Raw genomic sequence first — 16647 nt, forward strand, 5'->3', positions numbered from 1 at the left:
TAGCTGGGATTACACGCACATGCCACCAAGCCCAGCTAATTTTTGTATTTTTAGTAGAGACGGGGTTTCACCATGTTGGCCAGGCTGGTCTCATACTGCTGACCTCAAGTGATCCGCCCACCTTGGCCTCCCAAAGTGCTGGGATTACAGGCATGAGCCACTGCACCCAGCCAGAATACACATTCTTCTCAAGAACATGTGAAATATTTATCGTGACTGACCATATTCTGGACCATAAAACAATCTTAATAAATTTGAAAAGATTAAAATCATATGGTATGTTCTCTGACTATAATGGGATTAAATTAGAAGTCAGTAACAGAAAGATCTATAGAAAAACTATAATATTTTGGAAGCAAGGTAATATACTTCTAAATAGCCCATGGGTCAAAGAACAAAATCAAAAGAGAAATTATATGGTATTTTGAACTTTTTTAAAAGTGATGCATAAGTAGCTGTGCATATTTCAACCAAAGTGAAAACATATCAAAATGTAAAAGTAATTTTAAGTTTACTTTTTAAAATTTTAATCATTTTCTTTTTAGAAATTTTGGTTCATGGCCGGGCGCGGTATCTCACGCCTGTAATCCCAGAACTTTGGGAGGCCGAGGCAGGCAGATCACGAGGTCAGGGGTTCGAGACCAGCCTGGCCAACATAGTGAAATCCCATCTCTACTAATAATACAAAAATTAACAGGGCATGCTGGTGCACACCTGTAGCCCCAGCTACTTGGGAGGCTGAGGCAGGAGAATCACTTGAACCTGGGAGGCGGAGGTTGTGGTGAGCCGAGATCATGCCACTGCACTCTAGCCTGGGTAAAAAAGCCAGACTCCGTCTCAAAAAAAAAAAAAAAAAGAAATTCTGGTTCATGTTCTCTCATGAAAAAGAATTATTCTGAGTGAAAAAACAGACAAAGATGAGTACATACTATATTATTTCATTTACATAAAACTCTAAGAAATACAGTAGTGACATAATAGATTATAGATATAATGCATCATAGATCATAGATAACAGATAATAGATATAGTGACAGATACAGATCAATAGTTTTAAGGGGAGGATGCCAAGAAAAGACTAAAAAGGAAAACTCCGCTTTGGTGTGGACTGGACTTAGTGACTGCATCCAAAGAAGACAGTATAGAAAGAAAATAAGTTTATATTGGAGAAACCTGGCAGATATCATCTTAATGAAGTGATCAAGGTTTGCATCAACCCGGGATCTCTCATATTGACATCATGTACCAGCTGACATGATCCACAGAGAAGGACACCTCACCTCTTGTGGTATTCTTCCTCAAGTCCCATAACCCTGCTGTAATCATTAGAACACAACAGTGAAACCCAAACTGAGGGGCATTCTACAAAATACCTGACCAGAACTCTTCAAAGTTTCAAGGTCATGAAGAGCAAGGAAAGCCTGCCACAGGCTGGAGGAGACCAAGAAGACATGGTGACTAAATGCAATGTTGCTTTTTTTTTTTTTTTTTTTTTTGAGACAGGGTCTTGCTCTGTCACCCAGGCTGGAGCACACTGCAACCTTGAATACCTGAGCTCAAGTGAACTTTCCACTTCAGCCTTCTGAGTAGGTGAGACTACAGGTGTGCACCACCATGCCCAACTAATTTTTTTTATTTTTGATAGAAAGTAATTTTTTGATTTTGCCCCAGGCTGGTTTCGAACTCGAGCTCAATCGATCCTCCCGCTTCAACCTCCCAAAGTGGTGGGATTACAGGCATATCAGACCCTGGAACAAAAAAATGACAATAGTGGAAAAACTGCTAAAATCTAATTAAAGTGTATAGTTGAGTAAATAGTATTGTTTCAATGTTAATTTCTTAGTTTTGACAAATGTACAATGGTTATGTTAACATTAAGGGAAGTTGGGTGGAGGGTATTATCTGCAATTTTTCTGTTGCATCTAAAATCATTCCAAAACAAAAACTTTATTTAACAATTTTATTTATGGATGGGCCAGCATTAAACAAGTATAAAATGAGTTTCCAAAAAACCCACTAAGAATATCATCACAAATCAAATACTTAGGAATAAATCTAATGAAAGATGTGTGAAACCTGTACATTGGAAACTATAGACTATATCACGGTCAAATTTTAAGACCTAAATATCAGAAGGAGGGCCGGGCACAGTGGCTCACACCTGTAATCCCAGTGCTTTAGGAGGCCAAGACAGGTGGATCATCTGAGGTCAGGAGTTTGAGACTTGCGCGCCCAACATGGTGAAACCCCATCTCAACTAAAAAAACAAAAATTAGGCTGGGTGCAGTGGCTCACGCCTGTAATCCCAGCACTTTGGGAGGCCGAGGCGGGCGGATCACCTGAGGCAAGGAGTTCGAGACCAGCCTGGCCAACATGGCAAAACACCATCTCTACTAAAAATACAAAATTAGCCAGGTGTGGTGGCACATGCCTATAATCCCACGTACTTGGGAGGCTGAGGCAGGAGAATTGCTTGAATCCAGGAGGCGGAGGTTGCAGGGAGCAGAGATCGTGCCATTGCACTCCAGCCTGGGCAACAGAGAAAGACTCCGTCTCAAAAAAAGAAAAAGAGAATATCTCCTTCATCTTGGAGCAGGCAAAACATTTAAAAACAAGACAAAAGCACTAATTATAAAAGAAAAAGAATTGGAGCATCTTAAAATTAAGAATTTATACTCCAAAAGAGAATATATCACAAGAATGAAAAGCCAATGCACAGATGAGAGAATATATTCAAAATATAATATGCATATTCTACAGAAGATTCATATCCAAAATATATAAACTATATGTAAACAACAACTTTATAAATAAGGAATATACTGTAGTGCCCCCTCGTTCACAGAGGATACATTCCAAGACTTCCAGGGGATGCCTGAAACAACAGATAGTACTGAATCTTATGTATACTGCACTGTGCTTTTTCTGATACATAACTTTGATACAGTTTAATTTATAGATTAGGCAAAGTAAGAGATTAATAAAAATGTCTACTAATAAAATAGAACAATTATAACAATATACTATAATAAAAGTTAAGTGAACATGATCTGTCTCTCAAAATACAGGAAAGTCCCCCTTATCATGCTTTACTCTCCTCAGTTCCAGTTATCTTTAGTATAATACAAGAAGATATATTGAGAGAGAGACCACATTCACATAACTTTTATTACAGTATATTGTTATAATTGTTCTATTTACTTATCCTTTACTGTTGTTAATCTCCCGCTGTGCCAAATTTATAAATTAAACCTTCTTAGGTATGTACGTATATATATATATGTGTGTGTAGGAAATAGTATATACAAGTTGAGCATCCCTAATTTAAAAATCCAAAATCCAAAATCTGAAACTTTTTGAGTGCTGACATGACACTCAAAGGCAATGCTCATTGGAGCATTTTGGGTTTCAGATTTTGAACTTTCAGATTAAGGATACTCAACCAGTATGTATTCTGCAATTATTCCAAAATTTGAAAAAATCAAAAATCTGAAACACTTCTGGTCCCAAACGTTTCAGATAAGGGATACTTCACCTGTATGGGACTTGGTACCATCAGTGGTTTCAGACATTCACTTGGGGTCTTGGAATGTATTCCCCACAGATAAGGAGTGAACTACTGTCTAATGAAATAGAAAGACAACCCAATAGGAAAATGGACAAAAGATGAACAGGTGGCTTTCCAAAAAAAAACCCCAAATGGCCAATAAATATGTGAAAAGGTGTTTAACTTCACCAGTTACCTCCAGAATGGCTAAAGTGAAAAAACAAAAAAAAAGCCAAATGTTGGAACTTCCAGAACACTCCTACACTGATAGTGAGTGTATAAATTGGTACACCTATTTTTGGAAAACTGTTTCACACTATCTACCAAAGCTGAACATATGTATACTCTATGAGCCAGCAATTCCACTTCTACGTATATACGCAACAGAAATGCACACATATGTTCACTAAAAGGTATATACCAGAATATTTGTTGGAGCATTATTTGTATGTCAAGTACTGGAAACTATTGCCTAAAAGCCCATTAACAGTCAAATACTAAAATGTAGTTCATTTATACAATGAATAGCACTCATCAATGAGAATGAACAGACCACAAACCCATGGAGCAATTTCACAAGCCCAATATTGAACAAAGGAAGCCAGAAAAGAGTACATACTGGGCTAGGCACAGCGACTTATTCCTATAATCCCAGCTCTTTGGGAGGCCGAGGCAGGAGGATTGCTTAAGTCCAGGAGTTTAAGAGCAGCCTAGGCAACAATAGCGAGACCTCATTACTACAAAAAAATTTAAAAATTAGCTGGGCGTGGTGGCACATATCAGATACTTGGGAGGCTGAGGTAGGAGGATTGCTTGAGCCCAGGAGTTCAAGGTTGCAGTGGGCTATGATTGCACCACTGCACTCCAGCATGTGCAACCAAGCAAGACCTCAACTCAAAAAAAGAAGAGTACATATTGTATGACAACAGTTTTTAAAGAATAAGAACAAGTAAAACTAATATATTCGGTTAGAAGTCAGGATAGTAGTTTCCCTTGTGGGAAGGAGTGTATAGTGACTTGACCTAGAATGTTGGTTCCATTTGCAAAAATTCATTTATGCTGAGGTAACAGACGATCTATATTCACAACAACACTTGCTCACCTTATGTATTAATTGAAGGTTAGCAGAATGGCTCAGGTCATCAGACTTACTCAGGGACCCAAACTGACAGAGTAGTGTCACCTTGAATGTTTCTGGCTGCCATCCACAGAGAAAAGAGTGCCCAGGAGGGTGCTGTGTCAACACTCAAATGACCCAGCCTGGGAGTCATATGTATCACTTCTTGTTTTTTGTTTTTTGAGACAGAGTCTTGCTTTGCAGCCTAGGCTGGAGTGCAAATGTGTGTCGATCACTTCTGCTCACAATTAATTCATTGACTACAACATGCATGTGGTTCCACCCAAACAGTGGGGCCAAGAAGTGAAATGCTACCATATCTAGAAGTGGAGGGAACCAGAAACGTGGTAAACAACATACTTTGCTATGTTGACTATTAATATTCTTCTTGAATATATATATATATATATATTTTTTTTTTTTTTTAATTTGAGACACAGTTTCACTCTGTTGCCCAGGCTGGAGTGCAGTGGCGAGATCTCAGCTCACTGCATCCTCCACCTCCCAGGTTCAAGGCATTCTCGTGCCTCAGCCACCGGAGTAGTTGGGATTACAGGTGCCCGCCACCACGCCCAGCTAATTTTTTGTGTGTTTTTAGTAGAGACGGGGTTTTGCCATGTTGGCCAGGCTGGTTTTGAATTCCTGACCTCAAGTGATCTGCCCACCTCAGCCTCCCAAAGTGCTGGGATTACAGGCGTGAGCCACCGCGCCCAGCCCTTGAACATACTTTCTACTGGCTATAAGGTAATCAGTCAAAGGGTGTTTCATCTACATAACCAATTTCCTTTGGTGAATATTAATTTGGTTATATTTTTTCCACTATTACTAATAATCAAATGTTAAAATTTTGTTCTTTTGTCTACTGCTTTATATATGAATCTTTACATGGGTTCGAATTTCTGCCATTGTGAATACCATGGGAAGATCCTGCTTTGAATGCTTTTCTCTGCTTTGGTGATACAACATTTGCTAACTGGACCCATGAGATTTCTTTCATAATTCCTTTGTTCCAAAACTTGCCTGGGTGTGCTGGTTCACGCCTGTAATCCTAGCACTTCGGAAGGCTGAGGTAGGTAGATGGCTTGAGCCCAGGAGTTCCAGACCAGCCTGGGCAACATGGCAAAATCTTGTCTCTACAAAAAAATAAAAAATTAGTTGGGCATGGTGGCATGTGCCTGTAGTCCCAGCTACTCAGGAGGTGGAAGGACCATCTGAACCCAGGGAGGTCAAGGCTGCAGTGAGCTATAATCATGCCACTGCACTCCAGCCTGGGTGACAGAGTGAGATACCCCCATCTAAAAAAAAAAAAAAAAAAAAAAAAGAAACTTATTTTGCTAGGTCTTGTTGCTGTTTATTGTTTTGGGGTTTCCTATTAATGCTCCTTTTGGAGCTATTGGTTTAGATGGCTTTAGCCAGTAGGCAGCCATATATTTCCTATGTACATTATCTTCTTCTCAGAAAACTCCTAATGCTTTACATTTTGAATGTATTATACCACCAAATGGAAAACAAATATCAGTTTCATCACATTGAAATGTGTAGGTTCATAGAGAGTTGAGTCTACCTATTTCACTTAAGATACCATGGCTAGTATTTTATACATTGTGGTATTTTATTAAGATCTACAATATTGGCTGGGCACGCTGGCTCACACTTGTAATCCCAGTACTTTGGGAAGCCAAGGTGGTGGATTGCTTGAGGTCAGGAGGTCGAGACCAGCCTGGTCAACATGGCAAAACCCCATTTCTACTAAAAATACAAAAATTAGCCAGGCGTGGTGGCATGCGCCTGTAGTCCCAGCTACTCAGGAGGCTGAGGCAGGAGAATCACTTGAACCTGGGAGGTAGAGGTTGCAGTGAGCGGAGATAGCGCCACTGCACTCCAGCCTGGGTGACAGAGTGAGGCTCCGTCTTTAAAAAAAAATCTACAAATATAAAATTGTTTAAGGCTTTCGGGCATGTGACATTGATGAATCCTAATAACTTAGATAACTCAGGCTCTAAGGAAACTTGGGAATACCCTGTCCAACCTCTCCTTTTATAGAATTAGAAAATAGAACTTGAGAATTAGTCCAACCTTCTTTTATAGAAGAAGAAAATGAGTGCCAAAGAAATTCAGTGATTTGTAAAAGGTTGTAAAGCAAATTGATTACCAAAGAAGATGTTCAACATATTTCAAAGGTATAACAATGACTATATTATGGTCCTCAACTTTCTGAAAGGGTGATAGATCAGAGAACTGACCAATAGAGTTTGCCAGAATTAATAGCATCAGACAACATGAAAGAGCATTTGTGTAGCAACATCATTATCTGTTTGGAATACCTAGATTTTATTTACATCATTAACACTGAATCCAGGAGAGCATCTGTCGAGAAGAAGCTGACTAAGAGAATAAAGGTTTTCAGAAAGATGTACAGAGTAATTTTTAAGAAAAATTGCAAGGGGGAATTTTTAATGCTAAGGTGCCATCAACTGTAAAGCAACTTGTAGGTTTATTTTCTTTTTTAAAAACTGAATATGTGAAAAAGAGATGTCATTTATCAGTTTACTGTACTTACTTTATTATTTCTGAATATGAAATGTAACCCCATTCTGTGAATAGGAGCTGTTCTTTGTTTTACACTGTATCAGTTTATCAATAGTTTCAAGTTTTCTGCAGTGTGTACTTTCAAATTTTTTCACTCTACATTTCAATTGATGTTGGAAGAACTGTTATTGGATCAAGAAGACAATGCTTGAAAAGAAAATTATGTATCTGTGTTACAGGCAAAAGAATAGTCATAAAGCATATGTAATCATATAAGACATTCAACATAACAGTTTTAGTGACAAGTGATAGTGTTTGAACTTTTGAAAAGGCATTTAAATGAGAAATCACAAATAAAATAACTATTCCAAAAAAAGTCCAAAATATTTCAAAAAAAATTTTTGAAAAGCATGTGGATTAACCAAATTATTAAAGATATTCTAATGTTTTATCATCTTTCAAGAGTAGCTGTGTTACTCATCCCATGAACTTTTATACTCTGAAGAAACAAAAATTCCAATTTAATGATGTAGAACTTCAAAGACTTAGCCGACAAGCATTTGGTTTTCTGTTTTGTTCTGTTTTGAGACAGTCTTGCTTTGTCATCCAGGCTGGAATGCAGTGGCATGATCAGGGCTCACTGCAACCTCCACATCCTGGGCTCAAGTGATTCTCCCACCTCAGCCTCTAGAATAGCTGTGACCACAGGCATGCACAACCATGCCCAGCTAATTTTTAAAAATTATTTGTAGAGATGAGATCCTGCTACATTGCCCAGGCTGGTCTTGAACTCCTGGCCCAGTGATCCTCCCACCTTGGCCCCCCAAAGTGTTGGGATTACAGGCATGAACCACCATGCCATGCCCAAGGATTTGTTAAATGCCCGTAATTTGTATAGACTAAGTAAAAAGGAAGTTTGACATCTATCTTTTAATTACTTACAGAGCCAAGTTAGCATTGACCTTGATTTGTGAGGCACTACAGTGAAATAAGTTAAAACCAAATTATTGGAATCTCTTGAGTTTAAATTCTTCCACCTACCTGTGGAGTGACTTTGAATAAGGTATTTTATATCTGTATGCTTTATTTTCCCTGTCGTTAGCTCAGGACTTTGCATAGAGTCCTTGCTCAATAAAGAGTAGTTCCCATCATTGTTCAAAAAATTCATGTAAGTTACTCTGATTTTTTTCCTAAACTGGAACTTAAGTGTCTGTACTGTCTTTTTGCAGTAATAACTGCTGAATTACCTGCAACACGTATATATATACACTTATATACTGTTTTTTTTTTTTGAGACAGAGTTTTGCTCTTTTCGCCCAGGCTGGAGTGCAATGGCGCAATCTTGGCTCACTGCAACCTCTGCCTCCTGGGCTCAAACGATTCTCCCACCTCTGCCTCCCAAGTAGCTGGGATTACAGGCGCCCACCACCATGCCTGGCTAAATTTTTTTGTATTTTTAGTAGAGATGGGGTTTCTTCATGTTGGCCAGGCTGGTCTCGAACTCCTGACCTCAGGTAATCTGTCCACCCAGGCATAAGCCACCATGCCCAGCCTGCATTTTATATATATATATACATATAATTATATATAATACATAAATATATTGTTCTATATAATATATAATATAAATTATATATATAAGTTATATATAATTTATATACAAATTAATTTTTATATCAATTTATATAAATTTATATATATATTTATATACTATATAGATATATAATATATATTTATATACTATATATAATATATATTTATATACTATATAGATAATATATATTTATATACTATATAGATATATAATATATATTTATATACTATATAGATATATAAGATATATTTATATACTATATAGATATATAAGATATATTTATATACTATATAGATATATAAGATATATTTATATACTATATAGATATATAAGATATATTTATATACTATATAGATATATAAGATATATTTATATACTATATAGATATATAAGATATATTTATATATGATATAGATTTATATAAGATATATTTATATACGATATAGATTTATATAATATATATTTATATACTATATAGATTTATATAATATATATTTATATACTATATAGATTTATATATAATATATATTTATATACTATATAGATTTATGTAATATATATTTATATACTATATAGATTTATATATAATATATATTTATATACTATATAGGTTTATATATAATATTTTGTATACTATATATTTATATATAATATATAGTATACTATATAATATATAAATATATTTGTATACTAATATATTTATATGTAATATATATTTGTACACTAATATATTTATATAGTATACTGTGTATTTATATAGTATATAAATATATACTATATAAGTATATACAGTATATATAGTATATAAGTATATATTATATAGTATATAAGTATATAGTATATATAGTATATAAGTATATAGTATATATAGTATATAAGTATATAGTATATATAGTATATATAGTATATAAGTATATAGTATATATAGTATATAAGTATATAGTATATATAGTATATAAGTATATAGTATATATAGTATATATAGTATATAAGTATATAGTATATAAGTATATAGTATATATAGTATATATTATATATAGTATATATAGTATATAAGTATATAGTATATATAGTATATAGTGTATATAGTATATATAGTATATAGTATATATAGTATATAAGTGTATAGTATATATAGTATATATAGTATATTAGTATATATAGTATATATAGTATATACGTATATAGTATATATATATTTATATTTATAAATATATTTATATATATAAATATATATTTATATGGTATATATAATATATATATACCGTATATTTATATACGGTATATATATATGTAATATATACCGTATATTTATATTATATAGTGTATATATACAGAGCAACTCCATCTTGAATAGGAGCTGGATAAAATGAGGCTGAGATCTACTGGGCTGCATTCCCAGACAGTTAGCATTCTAACTTACAGGATGAGATAGGAGGTCAGCACAAGATACAGGTCATAAAGACCTTGCTAACAAAACAGGTTTTAGTAAAGCTGGCCAAAACCAACCAAAACCAAGATGATGATGAGAGTGACTTCCGGTCGTCCTCACTGCTGTATTCCCACCAGCGACATGACAGTTTACAAATGCCATGGCAATGTCAGGAAGTTATCCTATATGGTCTAAAAAGGGGAGGCATCAATAATCTGCCCCTTGTTTAGCATATCATCAATATATAACCATAAAAATGGGCGACCTTGCTGGGCGTGGTAGCTCACGCCTGTAATCCCAGCACTTTGGGAGGCCAAGGCAGGCAGATCACGAGGTCAGGAGTTTGAGACCAGCCTGGCCAACGTGGTGAAACCCTGTCTCTACTAAAAACACAAAAATTAGCCGGACATGGTGGTGTGTGCCAGTAGTCCCAGCTGCTCGGGAGGCTGAGGCAGGAGAATCGCTTGAATGCGGAAGGCGGAGGTTGTAGTGAGCCGAGACAGCACCACTGCACTCCAGCCTGGGTGACAGAGGAAGACTCCGTCTCAAAAATAAATAAATAAATAAAAAATGGGCAACCAGCAGCCCTCAAGGCTGCTCTGTCAATGGAGTAGCCATTCTTCTCTTCCTTTACTTTCTTAATAAACTTGCTTTCACTTTACTCTGCAGACTCACACTGAATTCTTCTTGCTGGAGATCCAAGAACCCTCTCTTTCTTGTAACACATAGAAACAGCTTTCCATTGCCACCTAGCTATAAATAACTCCTTTCTGGTTATTCTTTTTTTTTTTTTTTTTTTTGAGACGGAGTCTCGCTCTGTCACCCAGGCTGGAGTGCAGTGGCGCGATCTCGGCTCACTGCGAGCTCTGCCTCCTGGGTTCACGCCATTCTGCCTCAGCCTCTCCGAGTAGCTGGGACTACAGACGCCCGCCACCAAGCCCAGCTAATTTTTTTTTTCTTATTTTTAGTAGAGACAGGGTTTCACCGTGGTCTCGATCTCCTGACCTCGTGATTCGCCCGCCTCGGCCTCCCAAAGTGCTGGGATTACAAGCGTGAGCCACCGCGCCCGGCCTCCTTTCTGGTTATTCTATTAAAAATTATTTCTTACAGTCACCTAACATAGACAATAGTAATTATTTTTTCTATTTGTTTCCTGAAAACTAGAAGAAAACATCACGCATTCAGGCAAAAATAGATCAGCATTAAAATATGATTTTGAGGGTTTATGAAAAAGAGTCACTCCTTTAAAAATCAAAAATGATGCTGAAGATATTTAATTCCTACATCCTCTCAAACCGACTTTTTTTTTTTTCCTTTTTGAGACAGGGTCTCTCTTGCCCAGGCTGGAGTGGAGTGGTGTGATCGTGGTTCATGGCAGCCTGGACCACCCGAGTCCAAGCGATATACCCACCTCAGCCTCTTGAGTAGCTGGGACCACAGGCTTGCACCACCACAGCTGGCTATTTTATTTTATTTATTTATTTATTTATTTATGTATTTTGAGACAGAGTTTTACTCTTGTTGCACAGGCTGGAGCGCAATGGGGCAATCTTGGCTCACTGCAAACTCCGCCTCCCGGGTTCAAGCGATTCTCCTGACTCAGCCTCTGGAGTAGCTGGGATTACAGGTGCCTGCACCACACCCGGCTAATTTTTGTGTTTTTACTAAAGACAGGTTTTCACCATGTTGGCCAGGCTGGTCTGGAATTCCTGACCTCAGGTGATCCGTCTGCCTTGGCCTCCCAAAATGCTGGGATTATAGGCGTGAGCCACCACGCCTGGCCAACTATTTTACTTTTTGTAGATACAGGGTCTCCCCGTGTTACCCAGGCTGGTGTCTCAAACTCCTAGGCTCAAATGATCCTTCCACCTTGGCCTTCCAAAATGGTGGGATTACAGGGGTGGACCACCACACCCAGCCTTGCCTATTTATATGTTAACTAATCAATTAATTCTATTGTCATTTGGGAAAAGATCTCATAAATTTAAAATCCTACTTACATCATTCTGAGTGCAGCTTTATTCTTGAAATGTCTATCCAGGAGGCTGGGCGCAGTGGCTCACACCTGTATTCCCAGCGCTTTGGGAGGCCAAGGCCAGCAGATCAACTGAGCTCAGGAGTACGAGATCAGCCTGGCCAGCCTGGCGAAACCCCTTCTCTACTAAAAATACAAAATTAGCTAGGCGAGGTGATGCATGCCTGTAATCTCAGCTACTCAGGAGGCAGAGGCAGGAGAATGACTTGAACGCGAGTGGTGGAAGTGGCTGTGAGCCAAGATCGCACCACTGCACTCAAGCCTGGGCAACAGAGAGACTCCTTCTCAAAAAAAAAAAAAAAAAAAGGCGGGGCGCGTTAGCTCATGCTTGTAATTCCAGCACTTTGGGAGGCCAAGGTGGGCGGATCACGAGGTCAGGAGTTTGAGACCAGCCTGGCCAACATAGTGAAATCCTGTCTCTACTAACAAAATACAAAAATTAGCTGGGTGTGGTGGCACTCACCTGTAGTCCCAGCTACTCGGGAGGCTGAGGCAGGAGAATCGCTTGAATCCAGGAGGCGGAGGTTGCAGTGAGCCGAGATGGTGCCATTGCACTCTAGCCTGGGTGACAGAGCAAGACTCTGTCTCGAAAAAAAAAAAAAAAGTAAAAAAAATGTATTATTCCTGGTGTGTCCGTGAGGGTGTTGCCAAAGGAGATTAACATTTCAGTCACTGGACTGGGAAAGGCAGACCTATCCTTAATCTGGGTGGGCACCATTTAATCAGCTGCCAGTACAGCCAGAATAAAAACTCGGGAGGCTGAGGCAGGAGAATTGCTTGAACCCAGGAGGGGGAGGTTGCAGTGAGCCAAGATCGCGCCACTGCACTCCAGCCTGGGTGACAGAGTGACACTCTGTCTCAAAAAAAAAATAAAATTTAAAAAAATAGTGCTTTCTCCCTGCATCTTCACATGGTGGAAGGGTTGAAAGCCTCCTTCAGCCGGGCGCGGTGGCTCACGCCTGTAATCCCAGCACTTTGGGAGGCCGAGGCGGGTGGATCATGAGGTACAAGGTGAAACCCCGTCTCTACTAAAAATACAAAAAATTAGCCGGGCGCGGTGGCGGGCGCCTGTAGTCCCAGCTACTCGGGAGGCTGAGGCAGGAGAATGGCGTGAACCCGGGAAGCGGAGCTTGCAGTGAGCCGAGATTGCGCCACTGCAGTCCGCAGTCCGGCCTGGGCGACAGAGCGAGACTCCGTCTCAAAAAAAAAAAAAAAAAAAAAAAAAAAAAAAAAAAAAGAAAGCCTCCTTCAAGCCTCTTTTTTTTTTCTTTTTTTTGAGACACAGTCTCATTCTGTCGCCCATGCTGGAGTGCAGTGGCACAATCTCTGCTCACTACAACCTCTGACTCCCAGGTTCAAGTGATTCTCCTGCCTCAGCCTCCCGAGTAGCTGGGACTACAGGTGTGCACCTCCACACCTGGATAATTTTTGTATTTTTAGTAGAGATGGGGTTTCACCGTGTTGGCCAGGCTGGCCTTGAACCTGGCCTCAAGTGATCTGCCCAACTCAGCCTCCCAAGTGCTAGGATTACAGGCCTGAACCACCACACCCGGCCATCAAGCCTCTTATAGAAGAACACTACTCTCATTTATGAGAGCAGAGTCCTCATCACCTAATTATCTCCTAAACACCTGTCTGTGATTGTTAATATTAGGTATCAACTTGATTGGATTGAGGGATGCCTAGATGGCTGGTAAAGTCTTATTTCTGGATGTGTCTGTGAGGGTGTTGCCAGAGTAGATTGATATTTGAGTCAGTGGACTGGGAGACAAGATCCACTCTTAATGTCGGTGGGCACCATCCAGTTGGCTGCCAGCGTGGCAAAAACAAAGCAGGCAGAAGAAGTTGGGATGCCTTTGCTTGCTGGGTCTTCTGCTTCCTTCTTTTTCCTCCCGTGCTGGATGTTTCCTTCTGCTTCTCCTGCCCTTGGACTTCAGATTCCAGGTTCTTTGGCCTTTGGACTCTGGGACTTACACCAGTGTTTTGCCAGGGGTTGTCAAGCCGTTTGCCACAGACTGAAGGCTGCACTGTCAGCTTTCTTGGTTTTGAAGCTTTGGACTCAGACTGAGCCACGGCTGGCTTCTTTCTTTCCCAGCTTGCGGATGGCCTGTCCTGGGACTCCGCCTTGTGACTGTGTGAGCCAATTCTTCCTAATAAACTCCCTTTCATATATACATATATCCTATTAGTTCTGTCTCTCTGGAGAACCCTGACTAATACAAGGCCCTATCTCTTAATACCACCACAATGGGGATTAGGTTGCAACACAAATTTTGAGGATACACAAACATTCAGACATAGCTTGTATACATATATATTTAATATTTTTATTTTCTAAATTATTTATTTATTTGTAGAGACAGGGTTCCGCTGTGTTACCCCTGCTGGTCTCAAACTCCTGGGCTCAAGCAATCCTCTCACCTCGGCCTTCCAAAGTGTTGGGATTACAGGTGTGAGGTTCTATGCCCAGCTATATATTAATATCTTTAACCCAACCATGTTAAAGTATATGTGCAATTTTGTAGCTTTCTTTTGTCACTTAAAAATGTATTGTATCAAGTCCAACAGAGCTTAAAGGTAAAAAGAAAGTGTATTGTAGATCTTACTGTATATTTATGTATACAGTATATTTTATTCTCTTTCAAAAAATAAAATAGAGATGAAGTCTTGCTATGTTGCCCAGGCTGGTCTGGAACTCCTGACCCCAAGTTATCTTCCCACCTCAGCCTCCCAAAGTATTGGAATTACAGGTGTGAGCCACTGCACCAGGCCCTGTTTCATTTTTTCTTAACTAGCTACAGGGCATTCCATTGAATGAGCAGACATTGTGACTTGTTTTATTTTTTCAACAATGAAAACTTCCTTGTACATATATCTTTATATATGTGTTGAAAATATTTTTATAGATTAAATTCCTAGAAGTAAAAATCCTGGGGAAAAAGGTATGCATATTTTATAATTAGATAAAATATCAAGATTTGGCTGGACGCGGTGGCTCATGCCTGTAATCCCAGCACTTTGGGAGGCGAAGGAGGGTGGATCACCTGAGGTCAGGAGTTCAGACTGACCAACACAGTGAAACCCTGTCTCTACTAAAATACAAAAAAATTAGCTGGGCATGGTGGTGCATGCCTGTAATCCCAGCTACTTGGGAGGCTGAGGCAAGAGAATTGCTTGAACCCAGGAGGCGGAGGTTGCAGTGAGCCAAGATCACGCCAGTGCACTCCAGCCCGGGCGACAGAACAAGACTCCATCTCAAAAAAAAAAAAAAAAAAAATTCAAGATTTTACCATAAGACCCAATCACGTCAAAAGGTGATATGATCTGCAGAGACAGCATCTGTGGAGTGGGCTTTAGGGAGGGTTTTAGTATCTTTGTGGGGGATCCATAAAATCCATGATTTACATGGATTATATCAGTTAATCCTCACAACAACTCTTTGAGGTAGGTAGTATTATTAGCCCCTTTTTACTGATGAGCAAACTGAGGTTTAGAGAGGTTAGGATTCAAACCCAAGGAATGAAAGAAAAGCTAAAGTTGTTCATCTGTGGTCTAAGATAGGAGTAAAATGGAAGAATGAGCAGATGGAAGAGAAAGAGAAGACATAACATCTAGATACAGAATAGGCCAGAGTCCTCAAACTTTTGTTATCCACAGAGAGACCCTTTTCTAGTTATGGCTTTAGCTGCTGAGAAAAATCATGCCAGACTGAACACATTTGTCTTTAAATAGCTTACATTCTATGTTGGGAGAACAAAGTATTAAAATTTGATGAGGAGGACACAATTCGCCCAAAAGCTCAGGACCACCACAGGTGATGTCTCACATGTCAGTAGGTGATTCTATTAATTAATTAATTAATTAATTAATTTATTTATTTAGACAGGGTCTCACTCTGTTGCCCAGGCTGGAGTGCAGTGTCGCTGTCTCGACTCACTGCAATCTCTACCTCCTGGGTTCAAGTGATTCTCCCCCCTCAACCTCCCGAGTAGCTGGCAGTACAGGCACCTGCCACGACACCAGGCTAATTTTGTACTTTTAGTAGAGACAGGGTTTCATCTTGTTGGCTAGGCTGGTCTCAAACTCCTGGCCTCAAGTGATCCACCCGCCTCTGCCTCCCAAATTGCTGGGATTACAGGTGTGAGCCACTGTGCCCAGCCTTATTTTATTTTTGAGACAGGGGTCACCCAGGCTGGAGTGTAGTGGCAGGATCATAGCTCACTGCAGCCTTCATCTCTCAGGCTCAAGCAATCCCTCCCCTTCAGCTTCCTGAGTAGCTAGGACAACAGGTGCACGCCACTACGCCCTGCTAATTGTTTTTTATTTTTGTACAGACGGGATCTCACTTTGTTCCCCAGGCTGGTCTTGAACTCCTGGACTCAAGAGATCCTCC

This window comes from Homo sapiens, chromosome 10 (assembly GCF_000001405.40).
Source record: "Homo sapiens chromosome 10, GRCh38.p14 Primary Assembly".
In the NCBI taxonomy this organism is placed as follows: Eukaryota; Metazoa; Chordata; class Mammalia; order Primates; family Hominidae; genus Homo; species Homo sapiens.